Consider the following 15,696-nt stretch of genomic DNA (forward strand, 5'->3'; position numbering starts at 1 on the left):
TCCCCGCTACTCAGGAGGCTGAGGCAGGAGAATCGCTTGAACCCAGGAGATTCTCACTGAGATTGCAGTGAGCGGAGATCACGCCACTGCATTCCAGCCTGGGTGACAGAGTGAGACTCTGTCTCAAAAAAAAAAACAGGAGCACAGGCTAAGAGGGCAGACAGACACCATGTGCTAGTGCCCTCCCTCCCCTGGACCCACAGCAGAACCACAATAAGGGGCACCCCAGGGGCACAGCACAGACGGGCTGGCCTGTGGGGAGCCCTTGCCGGTGCAGCAAGTGAGTTTTCCCAGGACCTCTGCTTGGCCAGCTGCCCTTTATTCTTGGCGGCCTGTGTAGAGAAATTGAGTGGAGAAGTGGGGCTGCGGGGTCTAGCAGGACACTTCCCCACACTTCCCTGAGGAACCTGTGATGACCCAGTCACAAAACAGTCTTTGGGGATCTTATTTCTGTAATGAAGAAGAGGAATTATATGTGGAGCAAGAGCCAAAGACCTGGAGCCGCTGGCCCAGGAGGGGCTGTCTCCACTGGAACCCTCCATTCTCCGACCCGCTGTGTCTGAATGGCGGCTTGCCCACACCTGTTTGCAAAGTGAAGCTCTCACCCGAGAGAACGACACGCTTCTATATTTGATGAAGTTTTGCCTAAAATTCTAATAAATACTCCCTTGCTGTGTCCAGTAATGAGGGGTACAGGAGGGAGAGGCAGGGCCCCAACCCTTGCAGACCTTATAGTCCAGTAAGGGCAGATTTATAAACAGCCAACCGGCCTCCAGCCGAGCAAAACAAGCAGGGCCTCAAGGGAGGGAGGAAGGGGAGCACTGATTTTTAAAATTGTTTAGAATATAGAAAGCCATTCAGTGAAAAATCCCCCACTCCTGCCCCTCCCCTTCACTAGGCCACTCAGGGAACAGTTGTCCTTTCTCTTTGATTCCTCTGTAATATGCCCATGCAATTCTGACCCAGAGAGCACAGACCCCACAGGGCATGGTTCCCAACAGGATGCCCTGTCTCAGACACCATCCACAAGTCCGGGGGTCTCCAGGCCACCCACACTTCTGACCACCTGACTACAAGTGTGGGGGTTCCCATGATTCTCTCAGGTTCAGCCATTCACTAGAATGACTCACAGAACTCAGGAAAGCCTCCTGTTACTCTTAGAGATTCATTATCAAACATGGAATTCAAGACCAGCCAGAAGAGGAGACACACAGGCAAGGTGTGGGCACGTCACAGACAGGGGCTGCTGCACCCTCCCCGTGAGCCAGCCCAGCACCCTCCTGCACCCCAGTGTGCTCAGCAGCCAGGAGGCTCCACTGCATTTTGGTGTCCAGAGTTTTATTGGGGTTTCACTGTGTAACGTGATCGGTGGAGTGATTGGTTAGGTGATTGAAGCCCACTTCTCTGACTGCTGGGAGGTTGGGCTGACATCCCGTGGCTCAAAGCCCCAACCCTCTAATAACGGGTCTTTCAGCAGACAGTCCCCATCCTGAAATTCAGTAGGAACCCACCCTGAGTCACCTCATTAGCATAAACTCAGGTGTGGTCCCAGGGGCCCGCCAGGACTAATGCAGACGCTCCACACTTCTGAGAAACCCCCAGGGTTTAGAAGCTTCCTCCGAGGATCCAGGACAAAGACCTGATACATCTTCTGTTATGCAACACCCTCCAAAGATTGCTTGCAAACAGAAATATACAGCGTTACCTCCCCAACACTGCATTTTTAATACAAAAGGAATGAAAAGTCTATGCCGGCTCCTGGGCTTTCCTCTTCTCACTTATCAAAGCATCTCGGTGGCCTTTCCCAGCTGTGTATCTGCAGCTTTGTTCTTCTGTTTCTGGGCTGCATGCTGAGCTGCCAGAACTGGGTCTTCCTGTGGCTGTTCTTCCTTCCACGGGCATCTGGGTTGCCTCCAGCTTTGTTGCCATTACAGCAATGTCACAGACATTGGTGACACTGCGCATAGGTCAGCCCACACAGGTGCACACGTGTCTCTGGGCTGCCCTCCCCCAGATGGGCCTGGGCATAGAGAGAATATACATGTGTGGATTTGACAGGCATTGCTTCCACAGCCTGGTCCACGGAGCAGCGTGCCACCCTTGGAGCTGAGGGTGTCTCGCTCACACGCATCTCCCACACCATCAGGGAGATGGAGCATTTTCGGGCTTTTAAGCTTTCTTCTCTGCACTGCATCAAGTGTTGCCTAGAGGGATGGGGGTGGCTCATGAAGGCCCCCAAACTGCATGGGAAAGGGCAGGATTTTAGACAGGCAGAGGAAGGGGAGGATACCCCAGGGACGTGCCCAAGTGCAGACACAGAGGTGGGACGATGTCGGACAGAGGGCAGGCGCTCAGAGGGTGAAAGGGCCCAGGGCCCAGGGCTGCCTCTGTAGGAGCTGCCCCTCCTCCCCAGTGGCAGGGATGTGCAGACAGGAACATGAACGTGCTGTGTCCAGGGGAGCCTCTGCACTCAGCATTCTGCCACAGCCTCTCCTTAGAGGGGGGCCTCTTCCCTCCCCCGAGACTCCCCAACTTTCTCACAAGCATACCCCGTCCTGTTCAGGCCCTGTCCCTGAAAGAAACAGAGCGGAGCCTTCTGAGTGAGGAGCTCTCCAGGGCCAGGAGGACGCTAGAGCGGGTACAGCAGGAGGCACAGAGCCAGCAGGAGCAAGCGCAGGTGAGCCCCATGCAGCCAGGCCACGTGCACAGCCAAGCAGGTGCTGGCAGACCCCAGGGGGCCACCCCTCCTGCCTGGTCCCAGTGGCATGACCCTCTCCATCCCCTCCCTTCCTGAGCCTCAGTTTCCCCCAGGTGCCTCCAGGGCTCCTGGTGGGAGGGGCACTCAATGGGCAGGAAAGATCCAAGTGAACCAAAGCAGTGGGTACCAGGACTTTTCCTGGCTCAGTTCTCCCTTAGCTTTGGGGCTGGCAGGGGCCAGAGAGAGGGGGCCTGGCCCAGCTGGGGGCCTCCCATGAGCCAACAGCAGCGAGTGGCTGAGCCCATATGTGCACTGGAGCTGCTCGTAGAAAAGCACAGCTGGGGACATGAGCACCAGCCTTGTGGAACTCACTCACCAGAGAGATCCTTCCAAAGGAGAAACAACCCGAGGCGGCTGGCCCTGCACCAGAGGAAACTCTCGGCAGGAAAGGACACCCACATTGAGTCCTGAGCGGAGCCAGGAGAGAAGCGTCCGCGGAGGGGCTAGGACAGCCCCCCAGCAAAGAGCCGCCCACCCTCAGCCAGTGAACAGAGGCCCTCCCATGCACAAAGGCTGCTGCAGGCTGCCAGCGGGGGTCACCTGGGACCCCTGGGTCCTCCCCTGGAGCCCAAGTCCAGGGGGCTGGACAGGCAGCAGCAAATATGGCACTGGGCAGGAGGGCTATAGGGAGGAGCGCTCTGGAGAGGAGGGCTCTGGGGAGCAGGGGAGGAGGACTCTGAGGCCTGTGCCTCCAGCTCATGGGCAAGGCTGGACACCCACTGTTATTGCTTGCAGAACGCCAAGGCTTCAGCCCATCTGTGATGGGGCACCAGGTCCCGCATGGGAGATGAAGAGACTGGGCAGGGCTCACAGCGAGGGTGGCCAGAGCCCAGCGATAGGACATAGATGGGGGCCTGGCTCACAGTGGGGGGTGGCCAGAGCCCAGCGATAGGACATAGATGCAGGAGTTACAGCAGGATCTCCAAGGGCCCAGGCGGCCTGAGGAGAGGCTGTTTGTGTTGAGGTCGGGGCTGCTGTCCTGGGTGGCAGGGGCTGGCCCTGAATAGACACAGGTGCGAGGGTGCCCTGGGCAGGGAGGGAATGGGCTCAAGGCACCGGACGCCACTCCTCTCCTTGCCAGGAACAGGTAGGATTGAGGGCGAGGCTGATCGCCAACCCCCAGCTCTCTGCCCTCCCTGGCCACACACACCCCATTAGCTGGGCCCACACCTGCCTCCTGCCTCTGTCCTTCCAGCTCCCAGCATGTTCAGTGACGAGGCCGTTCATTCCCGTACTTGTTGGCTTATTTTAAATTCAGGCGAGCCTTTCCTCCCTGTCCCTGGCAAGGACGCAGGGTTGGACACCTACCTGACTGGCGTTGAATGTATGGTTCAGTGTGCAGTGAACAGAACACAGGCCATGGTGCCAGGCGCGGGAGGCAGCCCCCTTCTCTGCCCATTCTGAACGGGAGCCCTTCTCACTGACTGCACAGAGGCACGCGCAGGCCGCCTGCTGGGGGGCCGGGGCGTCCAGGCAGCGGGGCCTTGGGGGACGCTCGGTGACTCGGAGCCGGGATGGAGGGCTTGTGCCCCATCCCCAGGGCACTGCGCAGCGGGAGAGGGCGCTGCAATGAGGAGGCGGCTGCTGGAGTGTCGCTTCACCTCCTCCTGCCTGATGCCACAACCCGGACTCCTAGTCCCTTCAAGCAGGGCTGCCCAGAGGAGCTCCTGGCAGCCCAGGGGAGACTTGCCCCTCACTCCATGAAGCCCCACCCTGCTCTGTTCCTGCCCCTGAGGCCTGGAGGGTTCCACGGGGCCCAGGAGGACCAAGCTTGGCATCGGGCCTGTGACCATGCCCCTCCCTCCTCCCGACCACTGGCCCAGCAGCTCTCTTGGCTCCACCCCGTGGGCAGGGACCCAGGAAAGCCCTCCTGGGGCCCTGGGAGCTGATGCCTCTGGCTCACAGAGGGGCCTTCTCTGGAGCCAGTGCTGGCTTCTGGAGCCTTCTCTTGAGCTGGCCCTGAGTCTCCCCCGGACTCGGTACCAGGCCTGCCAGCCAGCCGGCCTTCCTGGGGAGCTCGTTAAGGGTTCCTTTGCCACCTCGGCTCAGAAAATGGAAATTAAAACTGTTGAGAGGAGCGGGAGGAGAGGAATGCCGGCCAAGGAGCACCAGGCGCCAGATGACAGGACAGCGTGCGCCCCTAGGCTGAGTCACCACTGCCATCGGGCTCCCAGCCGATGCCCTGTCCCTGAGGCCCTCACAGGGGTATCCTGCAGCCAGGCCTCAGGGGCACCCATCACTGGCAGTGTTGGGGCATGCTGAGGCACAGAGCCATGGCCTAGTCACCCAAGATGGCCCTTCTCAGTCCAGAGAGACCAGAGGGGGTTGTAAAGAATGACGACAGGAGGCAGCAGCATGGCTCCTTTCCCAAGAGCAGGGGGCACAGGCTGCAGGAACCCCCACCCTAGCAGAATCCAGGTGGACAGGAGGGGCTCCAGAGATCTGGCACAGGGGCAGCCATGTGGGCACCTGTGCCCCCAGGAACACAAAGCCAGCTCTGGAGGGAGCCATCCCCCACCAGCCGCCCCCCGCCAGCCGCCTGCTGCTGCCTGGAGGCTTGGTCCAGTCCCCTGAACCCAGGGGTGCAGAGCCTGAGCAGGGCAGGGCTCGGACCCTTCATGTTGAGGACACTGAGGCCCAGGAAGCTGAGACCCCCTGAGCCCCATCTGCCCTGCTGCCGCAACCTGGGCAGGGGTGCAGTGGGGAGGGCCTTGAGAGGAAGCGGGGTGGTGTCCCGAGGGGCCTGGGGCTTGGGGTGAAGAAGGTGGTATTTGTCCATGAACAAGGGGCCATGGGCTGAGCCTGGGGCCTCCTGGCCCGAGGATCCCTGCTGGCCACACTGCCCCAAGGCCCGAGAGGACACCTCGGGTGGTGTGTGCGACAGGGAGCCGACTCCAGCTGAGCTCAGTCCCAAATGGAGGGTAGAGCTGCCCAGTGTGTGGTGGTCCCTGTAGGGATGGGCCCTGCCCCAGGGCGCAGGCTGAGCTGAGGGGCTGCCTCCTGCTGTGTCCGTGGGCACTCACACATCACAGCTGTCAGGGGCCGTGGATGTCTCCTCATCCCAGCAGCCTGTTTGACAGTTTAGGAAACCAAGGGCCAGTTACCCCGGGGCTTGCACGATCAGCAGGACCCGGCTCCCCCTCCCAGGCCACTGCAACACCTCTCTCTCCAGGGTCCTGGCCTTACCTCACCCTCCACTGCTGGGCCCAGCTCCCTGGTGCCACCGTGGGCTCCCTTCTCCCCGCAGGCCACCATCAGTGCCACGACTGAGGAGCTGAAGGCCCTCCAGGCCCAGTTTGAGGATGCCATCACAGCCCATCAGAGGGAGACCACGGCCCTACGCGAGAGCCTCCAGGACCTAGCGGCTGAGCGGGGCGATGTGGAGAGAGAGGTGAGAGGCAGGGCTGGGGGGCTCCTGGGGATGCCAGAGGACAGGAGAAAGCAGGGCAGGTACCAAGAGAGGAGAGAGTGGGGGTGCCAGGAGGAAAGAGAGGCTGTACCACAGAGAAGGGAAGAGTAGTCCCTGGGACTAGGAAGAGGCAAACAGCCATAGGGGCATGGGACAAGGGGCCCTCACACCACGCACTAAGCCAAGCCCAGGCTCTCAGGGCAGATGAAATGGTGCCTGGCCCAGGCCATTGGCTAAGGGAAGCTGACACCAGTTTTCAGGGGAAAGAAGGCATCATTTCTAAGCCTCCTGAAGGGGTGAGTTTGACTTCAGGGTGAAAGTGGGCCTGGCTGAGTCAGGTGGACTTGGCTGGGTCACGGTGCCAGCTGAGTGGGAAGGGAGCTCCCTGGAGGCTGCCGTGGGTCCCGACGCGGCTCCTGCTGCCCTGCTTGTCCTGGGAAGGTGCACAGCACACCTGCCAGCTCCCAGGGCACTGGAGGGGCACACCTGCCGCTGGGAGGGCCAGCATGTGAAAGGGTGGCCAGAGCCACGCAGCCAAAGGCTCCAGGAGTCCAGCCGGCCCCCTCGTTCCACGCACAGTTAAGAAAGTGGAGTCAGGAAGGGCCTGACTCTGGAGGCACTGGGGCAGCTGTCGCCTCCCAAAGCCTTCCCGAGAGACAGGCATGACCTGGGGCGAAGGGGAATTCGGACCCTTGGCCAAGAGGCCCATCGAGCCATCCACTGAGGCACGGGGAGGCCCTAGACAAGCTGGGCTCTGCCCACACAGCAGGAGGCGCGGACTTCACTGGGCTGGACACTAAGGTCGGGGGAGGCTGGATTTGGGGCAGCAGGCAAGAAAATAAGTGGGTTAGTGGAGATTTCGGGGTGTGCCTGGGCCTGGCCAAGGGCCCGAGGTTGACACGGAGGCCCCCAGGAGCCACATGATGGTGACGTGGGGTGGGGGACAGTCTTGGGCAGGGGGCAAGAGTGGCCAGGGCTAGGCTCACCTGGGCTCAGCGGGCAGGCAGATTGGAGAGGCATTTCTGAGGGGGGTTGGCAGGACGGGGGGACGCCTGTGTGTGGCAAGGGCAGGAGGGCACGCGGATCTGGGCTAGAGGAGGGGAGGGTCAGCTGGAGCCCCAGCGGGGCCCACGGGGACGGGGCGACCTCGCACACTCCCTGGGCTGCTTGCCAAGGCTGGAGGCTGCGCAGCTGACCTGGTGCTGGAGCGAGCGGCTGGCGCACACCACGCCCCAGAGGCCGGGCCGGCCGGCAGGGGAGAGTGAGAAGAGGGGCTCAGCCCTCCCCAAGCACCCCCGAGAGGCAGGCTGAGAGAGGAAGAGAACATGATTTAACATGACCGGCTGTTTACATTGGCCCCAAGGAGAAAGGTCTCCTTTCAACAGATTTCAAAGTCAGGCCCGGTCAGCGACCACACGGGGAAGCAAAACGAGATTGCAAAACTGGGGGCAGCAGGGGGAGGGGGAGGGGGAGGTGTGGAGAGGGTGGGGGTGCATTGGTTCTGCTGGCCTCAAGGAAGGGAGTGCAGGCCTCATGGGAAGGTCAGGCTCTCAGAGGAGCAGAACAGAGCAGGGTGCCCAGAAAGGGAGTGGGGGCTAAAAGCTGAGGACGGTTAAGGGGGACAAGAGGAACAATCACAGAGAAAAGCAAGCAGAGCCCGTGCAGGCGCCAGGCTGGCCCAGGGTCACCATGGAAACCATAACTTTTTCACAACCTTTAAACTGGAGGAACTTCCAGTCTCTCAGACCCTGCCTGAGGTCCACACGTGTGCACACACATGCATACACATCATCCACGCAGTGAGACCACACACACCGGTGTACACTTGACACTCAGAGTGGTGTGTGCATGCTGAATGCAGACACACAAGCCTCACACACTCACACACACTCACGCTGGAATCACATATGGACACCACACAGTGCACACAGGCGTGCACAGAAACGTGCACCAAGCACACACACGCATGTGTGCGCACACATGCACATACGTAGTGCATGCACAGGCATACAGACGTGCACACACATACATGCACACACGTATGCACACCACATACAGAGTGGACACCTGCACTGGCTCACACACACACACTCATCACACTCACACACTCATCACACATACACTCACACACACACACGCACTCACACATACACTCATGACACATGCACACGCTCATCACACACGCTCATCACACACACGTACACACACACGTAGTGCATGCACAGGCATACGGACGTGCACACACATGCATGCACACACACGTATGCACACCACGTACAGAGTGGACACCTGCACTGGCTCTCACACACACACACTCATCACACACACGCACTCACACATACACTCACATACACTCACACACACGCACGCACACATACACTCATGACACACACGCACACACTCATCACACATGCTCATCACACACATGTACACACACACGTAGTGCATGCACAGGCATACGGACGTGCACACACATGCATGCACACACACGTATGCACACCACGTACAGAGAGGACACTTGCACCGGCCCACACACACACTCATCACCCACACACACACACACACACGCACGCACACACGCGCACACACATACACTCACACTCACACGCACTCACACTCACACACACACACACACTCTCACCCTCCCCTGCTTTCCCTCCACAGCCCCTCCTCCCTGCAGAGCTCTGGAGCTGCCTCCCTGTAGGAGATTTTTAAAAGAGGCTGTTTATACAATTTCTAGCAAAGAAATAATTATTATAATCACATTAAGTGATTTGGCCGTAAAATTCCTGTAAAAGGGATGGCTGTTCTCATGAGGCAGAGGGAGCGGGTGGGGTGGGGGCGGGAGTGGGGGCAGGCCCTCCCCTGCATTTGTTTTGCTTGTTTTCATCTCCTCTGCGCTGGGAAATGAAAACAGTTTCTTTTATGATGCATGGGCCCTTTTGCTGGTCCTTGACCTTCTGGGCGGGTTTCTGCTGAGCTCGGCGGAAAATGCTCAGCACGGTCATGGCTCCCACGTGTGGGGGTGGAGGGGAGCGGAGGGGAGGCTCTGGCCCTTCCCAAAAACAGAACAACAATAACAGCGGCAGCCTCGGGAGCCAGGCCGGTCGGGGGCCTGGACAATATCCCGTGAAAACAGCCAGAAAGAGGGGTTTGCTTTTGTCAAGCCAGCGACTTGACATCGCGGAGTCTTTGTGGCTTCCATCTCTGGGCATGCCCCGCTGGCTACCTCCGCCTCCTCCTCTGGGACACACGAGAGCCGGAATGGAGCCTTCTCCAGGGTTTCTGGTCAGGCCCAGAGCTCAGACCTGGGAGGCAGGAGACTGGGCGCCAGGGCCGAGCCCCAGCAAGTCCCCACCCCCAGAGCGTAGGTGCTGGGGAGGGCCTTCCTGCCAGGCTGCAACTGTCCTCCGGACCCCACCCCTGGGTTCTCCCGGGCACTGTGAGATGCCTGGTGTCCGGAGCGGGAAACCAAGACCCTCCTCCCACTGCCCCCCCATTGCCAGAGATCCTCCTCCCACTGCCTCCCATGCCAACGGGGGAAGGAAGGCCAAGGGAGTGGGTGAGCCCCCACTGTGGCAGAGTCACTGTGCCGGGGTCACTGGGCCAGGGTCACTGTGCCAGGGTCAGGCCCAGCCTGCCTGCTGAGGCTGCTGCCCACACTAGGACAGGCAGCGGCCTGGGCACCACACTGTCACCTAAGGAGAGGACTAGACGCCGGGGGCAGGAGGTGGGAAGGGCCCCAGGCAGTGACAGTGCAGACACGTGTGCTGAGCCGCATCCCAGGTAGGCCTTGCTTACCAGTGGTCAGCGTCCTGGGGGTCCAGAGAGGCCGCAGCGTGGGGCCGGGCCCAGGGGCTCAAGGTGGGGTCTTCTGGGCTCTTAGGCTGGCCCTGCCTCAGCCCGTGGAAGCCGCCCTGCAGCCTCCGCAGCACTAGGGATTGGTGGCTCCATGGGGTGAGCAAAGCGCATGGGGACCAAGTTGGGCAGGGCACCTGTGCCTGCCACACCATGTCAGAGGCCACAGGCCCCTGTGGCTATCCCTGGAGCAGTGGTCCCCAGCGGGCCTCTAGAGCTGAATGGTCCTCCCCAGGCTGAGAGGCTGCGGGCACAGCTGACCGTGGCCCAGGAGGGACTGGCCGCACTGCGCCAGGAGCTGCAGGGCGTCGAGGAGAGCCGGGAGGGGCTGCACAGGGAGGCCCAGGAGGCCCGCCGGGCGCTGAGTGACGAGGCCCGCGAGAAGGACGTACTGTTGCTTTTCAACAGCGAGCTGCGGGCCACCATCTGCAGGGCCGAACAGGAGAAGGCCAGGTATGGCGGCCACCCAGGAGCAGCTGGGGGTGCCCTGCAGCCTGCTGCCCACCCAGGCCGTAGGGAGGATGGGGCAAGGGGGCTAGGCAGGGGCGTCCTGTTGACTTGGGCCCCACTGATGGTGGGGTAGACATGCCAAGCAGGCCTCCCGCTGCCCAGTCCAAGAGGTCTGCAATGCTGGCCAGTGCGAGGGATGGCTGAGGACATGGACACACCTGTCCCTGCCCACAGGGAGTTCCCATCCAGCAGGCAAGATAGGTCACAGGTGGCCTCCAGGAGGTGGTGCAGAGCTGGGGAGCAGAGGGAGGCCAACGGCCTGGCTGGGGCTCTAGAAAGGCCCCTGTGGGGCAGCTGGGCAGGATGGCACAGCCCTCACAGCAGGTGGCAGAGGTACCAGGCTAGGCTGGATGTTGAGCGTCCGGGAGTGTGACAGAGAGGGGGAGACAGGGAGGGATGAGGTGAGGAGGGGCTGAAGAGGTGGATAGTGGACAGGGGCCATGCGGCCGGCACCGGGACCTGGGTGGACATATGTCTGTAAGGTGACAGGGAACCCTGCAGAGGCTGAGTTTGAGGACACTGTGCAGAGTCAAGACTGGGGCCAGTGCCTCACTAGGGGAGGCAGAGACCTGCTGGGCAGCTGTGCTGGCCCCACCAGGAGGTGCGGGGGCCCCAGCCTGTGGCACCCTCGTCAGTTTTAAGCGGTCCAAGGAGGAGAAGGAGCAGAAGCTGCTCATCCTGGAGGAGGCCCAGGCGGCGTTGCAGCAGGAGGCCAGTGCACTGCGGGCCCACCTGTGGGAGCTGGAGCAGGCAGGGGGGGACGCCCGTCAGGAGCTCCGGGAACTCCACAGACAGGTAGGGCGGCAGGGAGGGGTCAACATCCAACCAGGCACCCTCCCGCCTGGTGGGTCCCGGCTCCTCCCAGGGGAGCCCCCAGCCCTGGCCTTGCTGCCGCCTTTGAACCACTCTGTCCCCAGACTTTGGGCCACGCCCTGCTCAGGCTCACAGGGTCCCTGGTTGGGTCTGTCCCCATGGGGCACAGATGACAAGACTGGAGAGGGCAAAACCAGGAATGCTTTAGCGAGGAGGAAGGGAACCATGCCCAGCAGCACACGGAAGTATCCTACATGCAACACCTTCCGGCATGCACAGCAGCACACGGAAGTATCCTACATGCAACACCTTCCGGTGGCGCTCGGGAACTCAGGCAGGCTAGAGGGGAGGCCTGGCCTCTGCAGGGCAGGGTGCTGGCAAGCCGGGTCCCCCCAAGGCCTGGCTCCCTCCTGTAATGGCGGCCTCGGGGCAGTTGGGTCCAATGCACCCCAGCCACTGCCCACACTCCCTAATCAGTGCCCACCCCGCCCCACCTGAGCCTCCTCCTTGTCCCAGGTCCTCCAAGGAGGTTCCGAGGAGGTCCCAGGTAGGTGTCTACAGAGTGGCTGAGGGTGACAACTCCCAGGGCAAGGTCCTTTGGGGCACCTTAGCCCAAGCCTCCCTAAGTGTGGCCAGCTGCCCTCAAGGGACGTGTGAGCGGAGGCAGGAGGCAGGGAGGCTGCCTGGGTTCCAGCACAGAGACCAGTGACCCTGTCCGTGCGGCCCCACGCTCCCAGGTGAGGACACTGAAGGCCGAGAACCAGAGGAGGAGTGGAGAGGCCCATGAGCTGCAGGCGCAGTGCTCGCAGGAGGTGCTGGAGCTGCGGAGGCAGGCAGCCAAGGCAGAGGCCAAGCACGAGGGTGCCCGGAAGGAGGTGGGAGGGCTGCCTGTGGTCAGAAGGGAAGGAGCTGGGCGTCGGGGAGCAGAGGGAGGAGGCCCACCCCACTTCCTCACTGTCTCCCACGGGCGCACCCCAACATCCCTCCTACAGGTCCTGGGATTGCAGAGGAAGTTGGCAGAGGTGGAGGCCGCAGGGGAGGCCCATGGACAGCGGCTCCAGGAGCACCTCCGTGAGAGCCGGGGGGCTGAGCAGACCCTCCGAGCAGAGCTGCACAGTGTCACCAGGAAGCTGCAGGAAGCCAGTGGTGTGGCTGATGCTCTCCAGGCTCGCCTGGACCAGGCCTGTCACCGAATCCACAGCCTGGAGCAGGAGCTGGCCCAGGCTGAGGGTGCAAGGCAGGATGCGGAGGCCCAGCTGGGCCGGCTGTGCTCCACGCTCCGCCGTGGCCTGGGGCTCCAGAGACAGAGCCCGTGGGCCTCCCCGGAGCAGCCTGGTTCCCCCACCAAAGGTCAGAGTCCTCAGTGGAGGCAGGCGGGCCCCTCTCCCAGCTCAGTCCCTGGCCTGGCACCTCTCTTTCAGGCCTCACAACTCACACAGTGAGGGACTCGGACAGGCAATTGTAGGAACCTGTGGCCGTCTCCCCAACCTCCCATGGCTGGGGCAGCAGAGAGGAAAGGGGAAGGGCGTGTATCTGTCACTGTGTTCCTGTCCACGACCCCTCCGCTGTCACCTCCCGCAGGCTCCGACAGCTCCCAGGCTCTCCCTGGGCAACAGGGTACCAGCCCCCCAGCCAGGCCCCACTCGCCCCTCCGATGGCCCTCGCCCACACCCGGAGGCCGCAGCTCAGAGCTCATGGATGTGGCCACCGTGCAGGACATCCTGCGGGACTTTGTGCAGAAGCTCCGGGAAGCCCAGCGGGAGCGGGTAATGGGGGCTGGGGTCCTCCCGCCCACGGCGGCACCCCCCGGGGGTCTCTGGGAAGAACACCTGCTGTCCATCCATCCGCGCGTCCCTGGGTCTGAGGGTCAGTGTCCAGGCCGTCCTGTTTGTTGTGATAAACACCAGCACCACCATGGCCCCCAAGCCCAAGTGCCTTGGGTGGCTGGAGGCCGCCCCCTTCCTTATACCAGGCTGAAAAGCCCCTGGAGCCAGGCCCTGCTGTGACACCCACCAGGGCCCAGGGTAGGGCATTCTGCAACTCATGCCACCCCTGAAGAGCTGCCGGGGCTGGGCAACTGCAGGACAGAGCCAGCAAGCTCCCCTCAATGCTCCCAAAGACCCCTCCGGTGGGGCCAAGCTCCCCAGTGGCTGCTCCTGGCTTCAGGGCTCCCACAGAACCACCCGTGAGCGGCCCCCTCCCACCTCGCTGGATGACTCCAGTGGGCAGGACTGTGGGAAAGACAGAGGCAGGCCCTGAGCCCTGGCCAGGGTCCTCTGTGCACACTCCTTCCCTTCGGGCCCACCCTCCCACCGCTGCCAGCCCCAGGGGGCAGGGTCCCGTCTGCACTCAGCCCCAAGTCCCGCCAGGGGCAGCCCCTACCGGTCCCCCTGACCACAGGCTGTGGGCCGCCACCTGCCAGCTCTCCCACACCACACCTGTGCTTGAAACCTGGACCCTTTAGGCCGAGTCTCACTGGGCGCCTCCACCTCCCCAGGCCTGCAGGTCAGCGCAGCTTCCCAGTGTGATCACCTTCCCCGCACCTTCCCCGAGCCCACGGCCCACACCACCCACTGCCCTGCCCTGCACACCTGCAGGCCAGACCGTGAGCGGCCCCAGCTGGCCCCGACCCTCTAGCAGACACCTTGGCCCTCCACCCGCCCATTGGACTGCCCCCGCTGACCTCAGTCCTTCTGCCCAGGATGACTCCCGCATCCAGATGGCGACCCTGAGCAGCCGGCTGAGCGAGGCAGAGTGCAGGTGTGCCCGGGCCCAGAGCCGCGTGGGGCAGCTGCAGAAAGCCCTGGCTGAGGCGGAAGAAGGTGACCTCCCTTGCCCTGCCCCGCCCACCCTGGGAGTGGCTGTGAGAGTGGCACCACCATGTCCCCACTGCTGCCGGCTATAAGCTTTCAGTCCCTGGGGCAGCTCGGTGGGAAGGGAGCCTGGGGGCAACACCCAAACCACCAGGCCTGGCGAGGCTGGGTCAGCGCTTGGCATCGGAGTTCTCAGCAGCGACTTCCCCAGCACAGAGGAGTGACGTCCACAGGCCCATCAGGGCCCTCCCGATCCGGCCCCCAGCATCCTCTGCCCCCCTGCCCCACCCTGGCCTCCTGCAGTTCCCACTGGGGGCCTTTGCCCTGGCTGTGCCCTCTGCCTGGCACCCTCTCCCCCAGACAGCCACACGGCTCTCCCCGGGCAGGCCCTGCCCCTCGTCACCCCCTCAGAGAGGCCCCTTCCTTCTGCCCCCCACTGCCTCACACTCACGAGTTTCTCTGCTTATTGCCCCTCAATTAAAGGAAAGAGGCAGGAGGGAAGGATGGGTGGGAAGCCGGGACCCTGGGGCAGCCCCAGGACCCTTGAGCTGCAAGGATGGACCCCCACCTCCACGTGGGAGCCAGTCACTCAAGTCCACAGAGCCCTGCATTGCCTGCCTGTGACCTGGGAGGGGCATGGGGGCCCCTCAAGCCACCCTGCTTGCCCCACAGGCCAGCGCCGGGTGGAGGGCGCGCTGAGCAGCGCCCGGGCAGCACGTGCCCTGCAGAAGGAGGCGCTCCGCAGGCTGGAGTTGGAGCACCTGGCGAGCGTGCGTGCGGCAGGCCAGGAGAAGCGGCGGCTGCAGGTGGGGCAGGCGGCAGGGTGGGTCCCAGGTGGGGCACAAGAACAAGGCCTCTCGGTCACCCTCACACCCTGCAGGGAGGCCACAGGGCCGGGAGGTGGGAGAGAGGGGTCTGCAAGGGCTTCTGTGGGTGTTCGGGGCTGGAGCCAGCCCGGTGGGGCCCTGGGGCAGAGGTGCAGGCTGGGCTGTGGCAGGCGGCTTTGGGGTCATCGGGACTGGGGTCGTCCTTAGCAGAGCTGTCCTTACGGTGGTTCTAGCCCTTGTTTTACAGGTTGGGGAAACTGAGGACTTGGCCCTGGGGGCACAGCGAGTGGGGGGCAGAGCCCCAAGTCTAGGCCCTTTCTTCTTGCTGAGGCCACAGCGGCAGGCATGGGGCGGCCCTGGCCCAGCCTTGGGGCTCTTTATAGGGTCACACTGTCCTGCTCCAAGACCACTTTTCATTCCATGTGGCTCAGACACAGAAGGGGCCTCTCAGGAAGGGCTGAAGTCAGTGTCCCTACATGCCAGGCTTTGTGCTGGGGAGGTGCCCGCTGGGTCTGAGGTTTTCAGGTGAGGAGCCTGGGCCTGGAAATGGAACGGCCAGGCAGTGGTGGATGGAGGCCTGGCCCAGGCCTTGGTCCTCAGTGCTGGTGGGGAGCCCCAGGCCCAGCCAGCCCAGCCCCACAGGTCCAAGCAGCCCCCGGGGTGTCCTGAGATCCTCTTGTCAGGACTGGGCCAGGGGACAACTGTTCC

The 15,696-nt window shown here is 62.6% G+C and overlaps 1 protein-coding gene and 1 long non-coding RNA gene across 3 annotated transcripts in view, besides 5 other annotated features; one reads left to right on the forward strand and one right to left on the reverse strand.

Moving 5' to 3' along the window:
- Positions 1-15,696, forward strand: part of CROCC2 (ciliary rootlet coiled-coil, rootletin family member 2) — an 86,976-nt gene that overhangs the window by 46,960 nt on the left and 24,320 nt on the right. For both annotated transcript variants that reach the window (XM_024453115.2, NM_001351305.2), the window contains exons 19-27: positions 2,564-2,677; positions 6,006-6,149; positions 10,261-10,478; positions 11,171-11,330; positions 12,086-12,223; positions 12,341-12,698; positions 12,930-13,114; positions 14,050-14,170; positions 14,834-14,967. In XM_024453115.2, the coding sequence (XP_024308883.1) occupies positions 2,564-2,677; positions 6,006-6,149; positions 10,261-10,478; positions 11,171-11,330; positions 12,086-12,223; positions 12,341-12,698; positions 12,930-13,114; positions 14,050-14,170; positions 14,834-14,967 (1,572 nt within the window). The remainder of the gene's footprint in view (positions 1-2,563; positions 2,678-6,005; positions 6,150-10,260; positions 10,479-11,170; positions 11,331-12,085; positions 12,224-12,340; positions 12,699-12,929; positions 13,115-14,049; positions 14,171-14,833; positions 14,968-15,696) is intronic.
- Positions 722-1,293: an enhancer, noted in NCBI's record as "H3K4me1 hESC enhancer chr2:241893434-241894005 (GRCh37/hg19 assembly coordinates)". NCBI's record gives its function as "activates a minimal SCP1, AML or CMV promoter by ChIP-STARR-seq in naive H9 embryonic stem cells {active_cell/tissue: H9 hESC(naive)}" and the evidence as "EXISTENCE:reporter gene assay evidence [ECO:0000049][PMID:30033119]".
- Positions 1,294-1,864: an enhancer, noted in NCBI's record as "H3K4me1 hESC enhancer chr2:241894006-241894576 (GRCh37/hg19 assembly coordinates)". NCBI's record gives its function as "activates a minimal SCP1, AML or CMV promoter by ChIP-STARR-seq in naive H9 embryonic stem cells {active_cell/tissue: H9 hESC(naive)}" and the evidence as "EXISTENCE:reporter gene assay evidence [ECO:0000049][PMID:30033119]".
- Positions 1,322-14,156, reverse strand: UICLM (up-regulated in colorectal cancer liver metastasis). The gene is made up of 9 exons (NR_033841.1): positions 14,032-14,156; positions 10,694-10,881; positions 9,969-10,451; positions 5,945-6,123; positions 5,782-5,827; positions 4,067-4,322; positions 3,075-3,165; positions 2,550-2,572; positions 1,322-2,204 (listed from the first exon to the last, which is right to left on the reverse strand). It is a non-coding gene; the product is annotated as an up-regulated in colorectal cancer liver metastasis (long non-coding RNA).
- Positions 4,719-5,288: an enhancer, noted in NCBI's record as "H3K4me1 hESC enhancer chr2:241897431-241898000 (GRCh37/hg19 assembly coordinates)". NCBI's record gives its function as "activates a minimal SCP1, AML or CMV promoter by ChIP-STARR-seq in naive H9 embryonic stem cells {active_cell/tissue: H9 hESC(naive)}" and the evidence as "EXISTENCE:reporter gene assay evidence [ECO:0000049][PMID:30033119]".
- Positions 8,473-9,324: an enhancer, noted in NCBI's record as "H3K4me1 hESC enhancer chr2:241901185-241902036 (GRCh37/hg19 assembly coordinates)". NCBI's record gives its function as "activates a minimal SCP1, AML or CMV promoter by ChIP-STARR-seq in naive H9 embryonic stem cells {active_cell/tissue: H9 hESC(naive)}" and the evidence as "EXISTENCE:reporter gene assay evidence [ECO:0000049][PMID:30033119]".
- Positions 9,325-10,175: an enhancer, noted in NCBI's record as "H3K4me1 hESC enhancer chr2:241902037-241902887 (GRCh37/hg19 assembly coordinates)". NCBI's record gives its function as "activates a minimal SCP1, AML or CMV promoter by ChIP-STARR-seq in naive H9 embryonic stem cells {active_cell/tissue: H9 hESC(naive)}" and the evidence as "EXISTENCE:reporter gene assay evidence [ECO:0000049][PMID:30033119]".

This window comes from Homo sapiens, chromosome 2, assembly GCF_000001405.40.
Source record: "Homo sapiens chromosome 2, GRCh38.p14 Primary Assembly".
Lineage (NCBI taxonomy): Eukaryota > Metazoa > Chordata > Mammalia > Primates > Hominidae > Homo > Homo sapiens.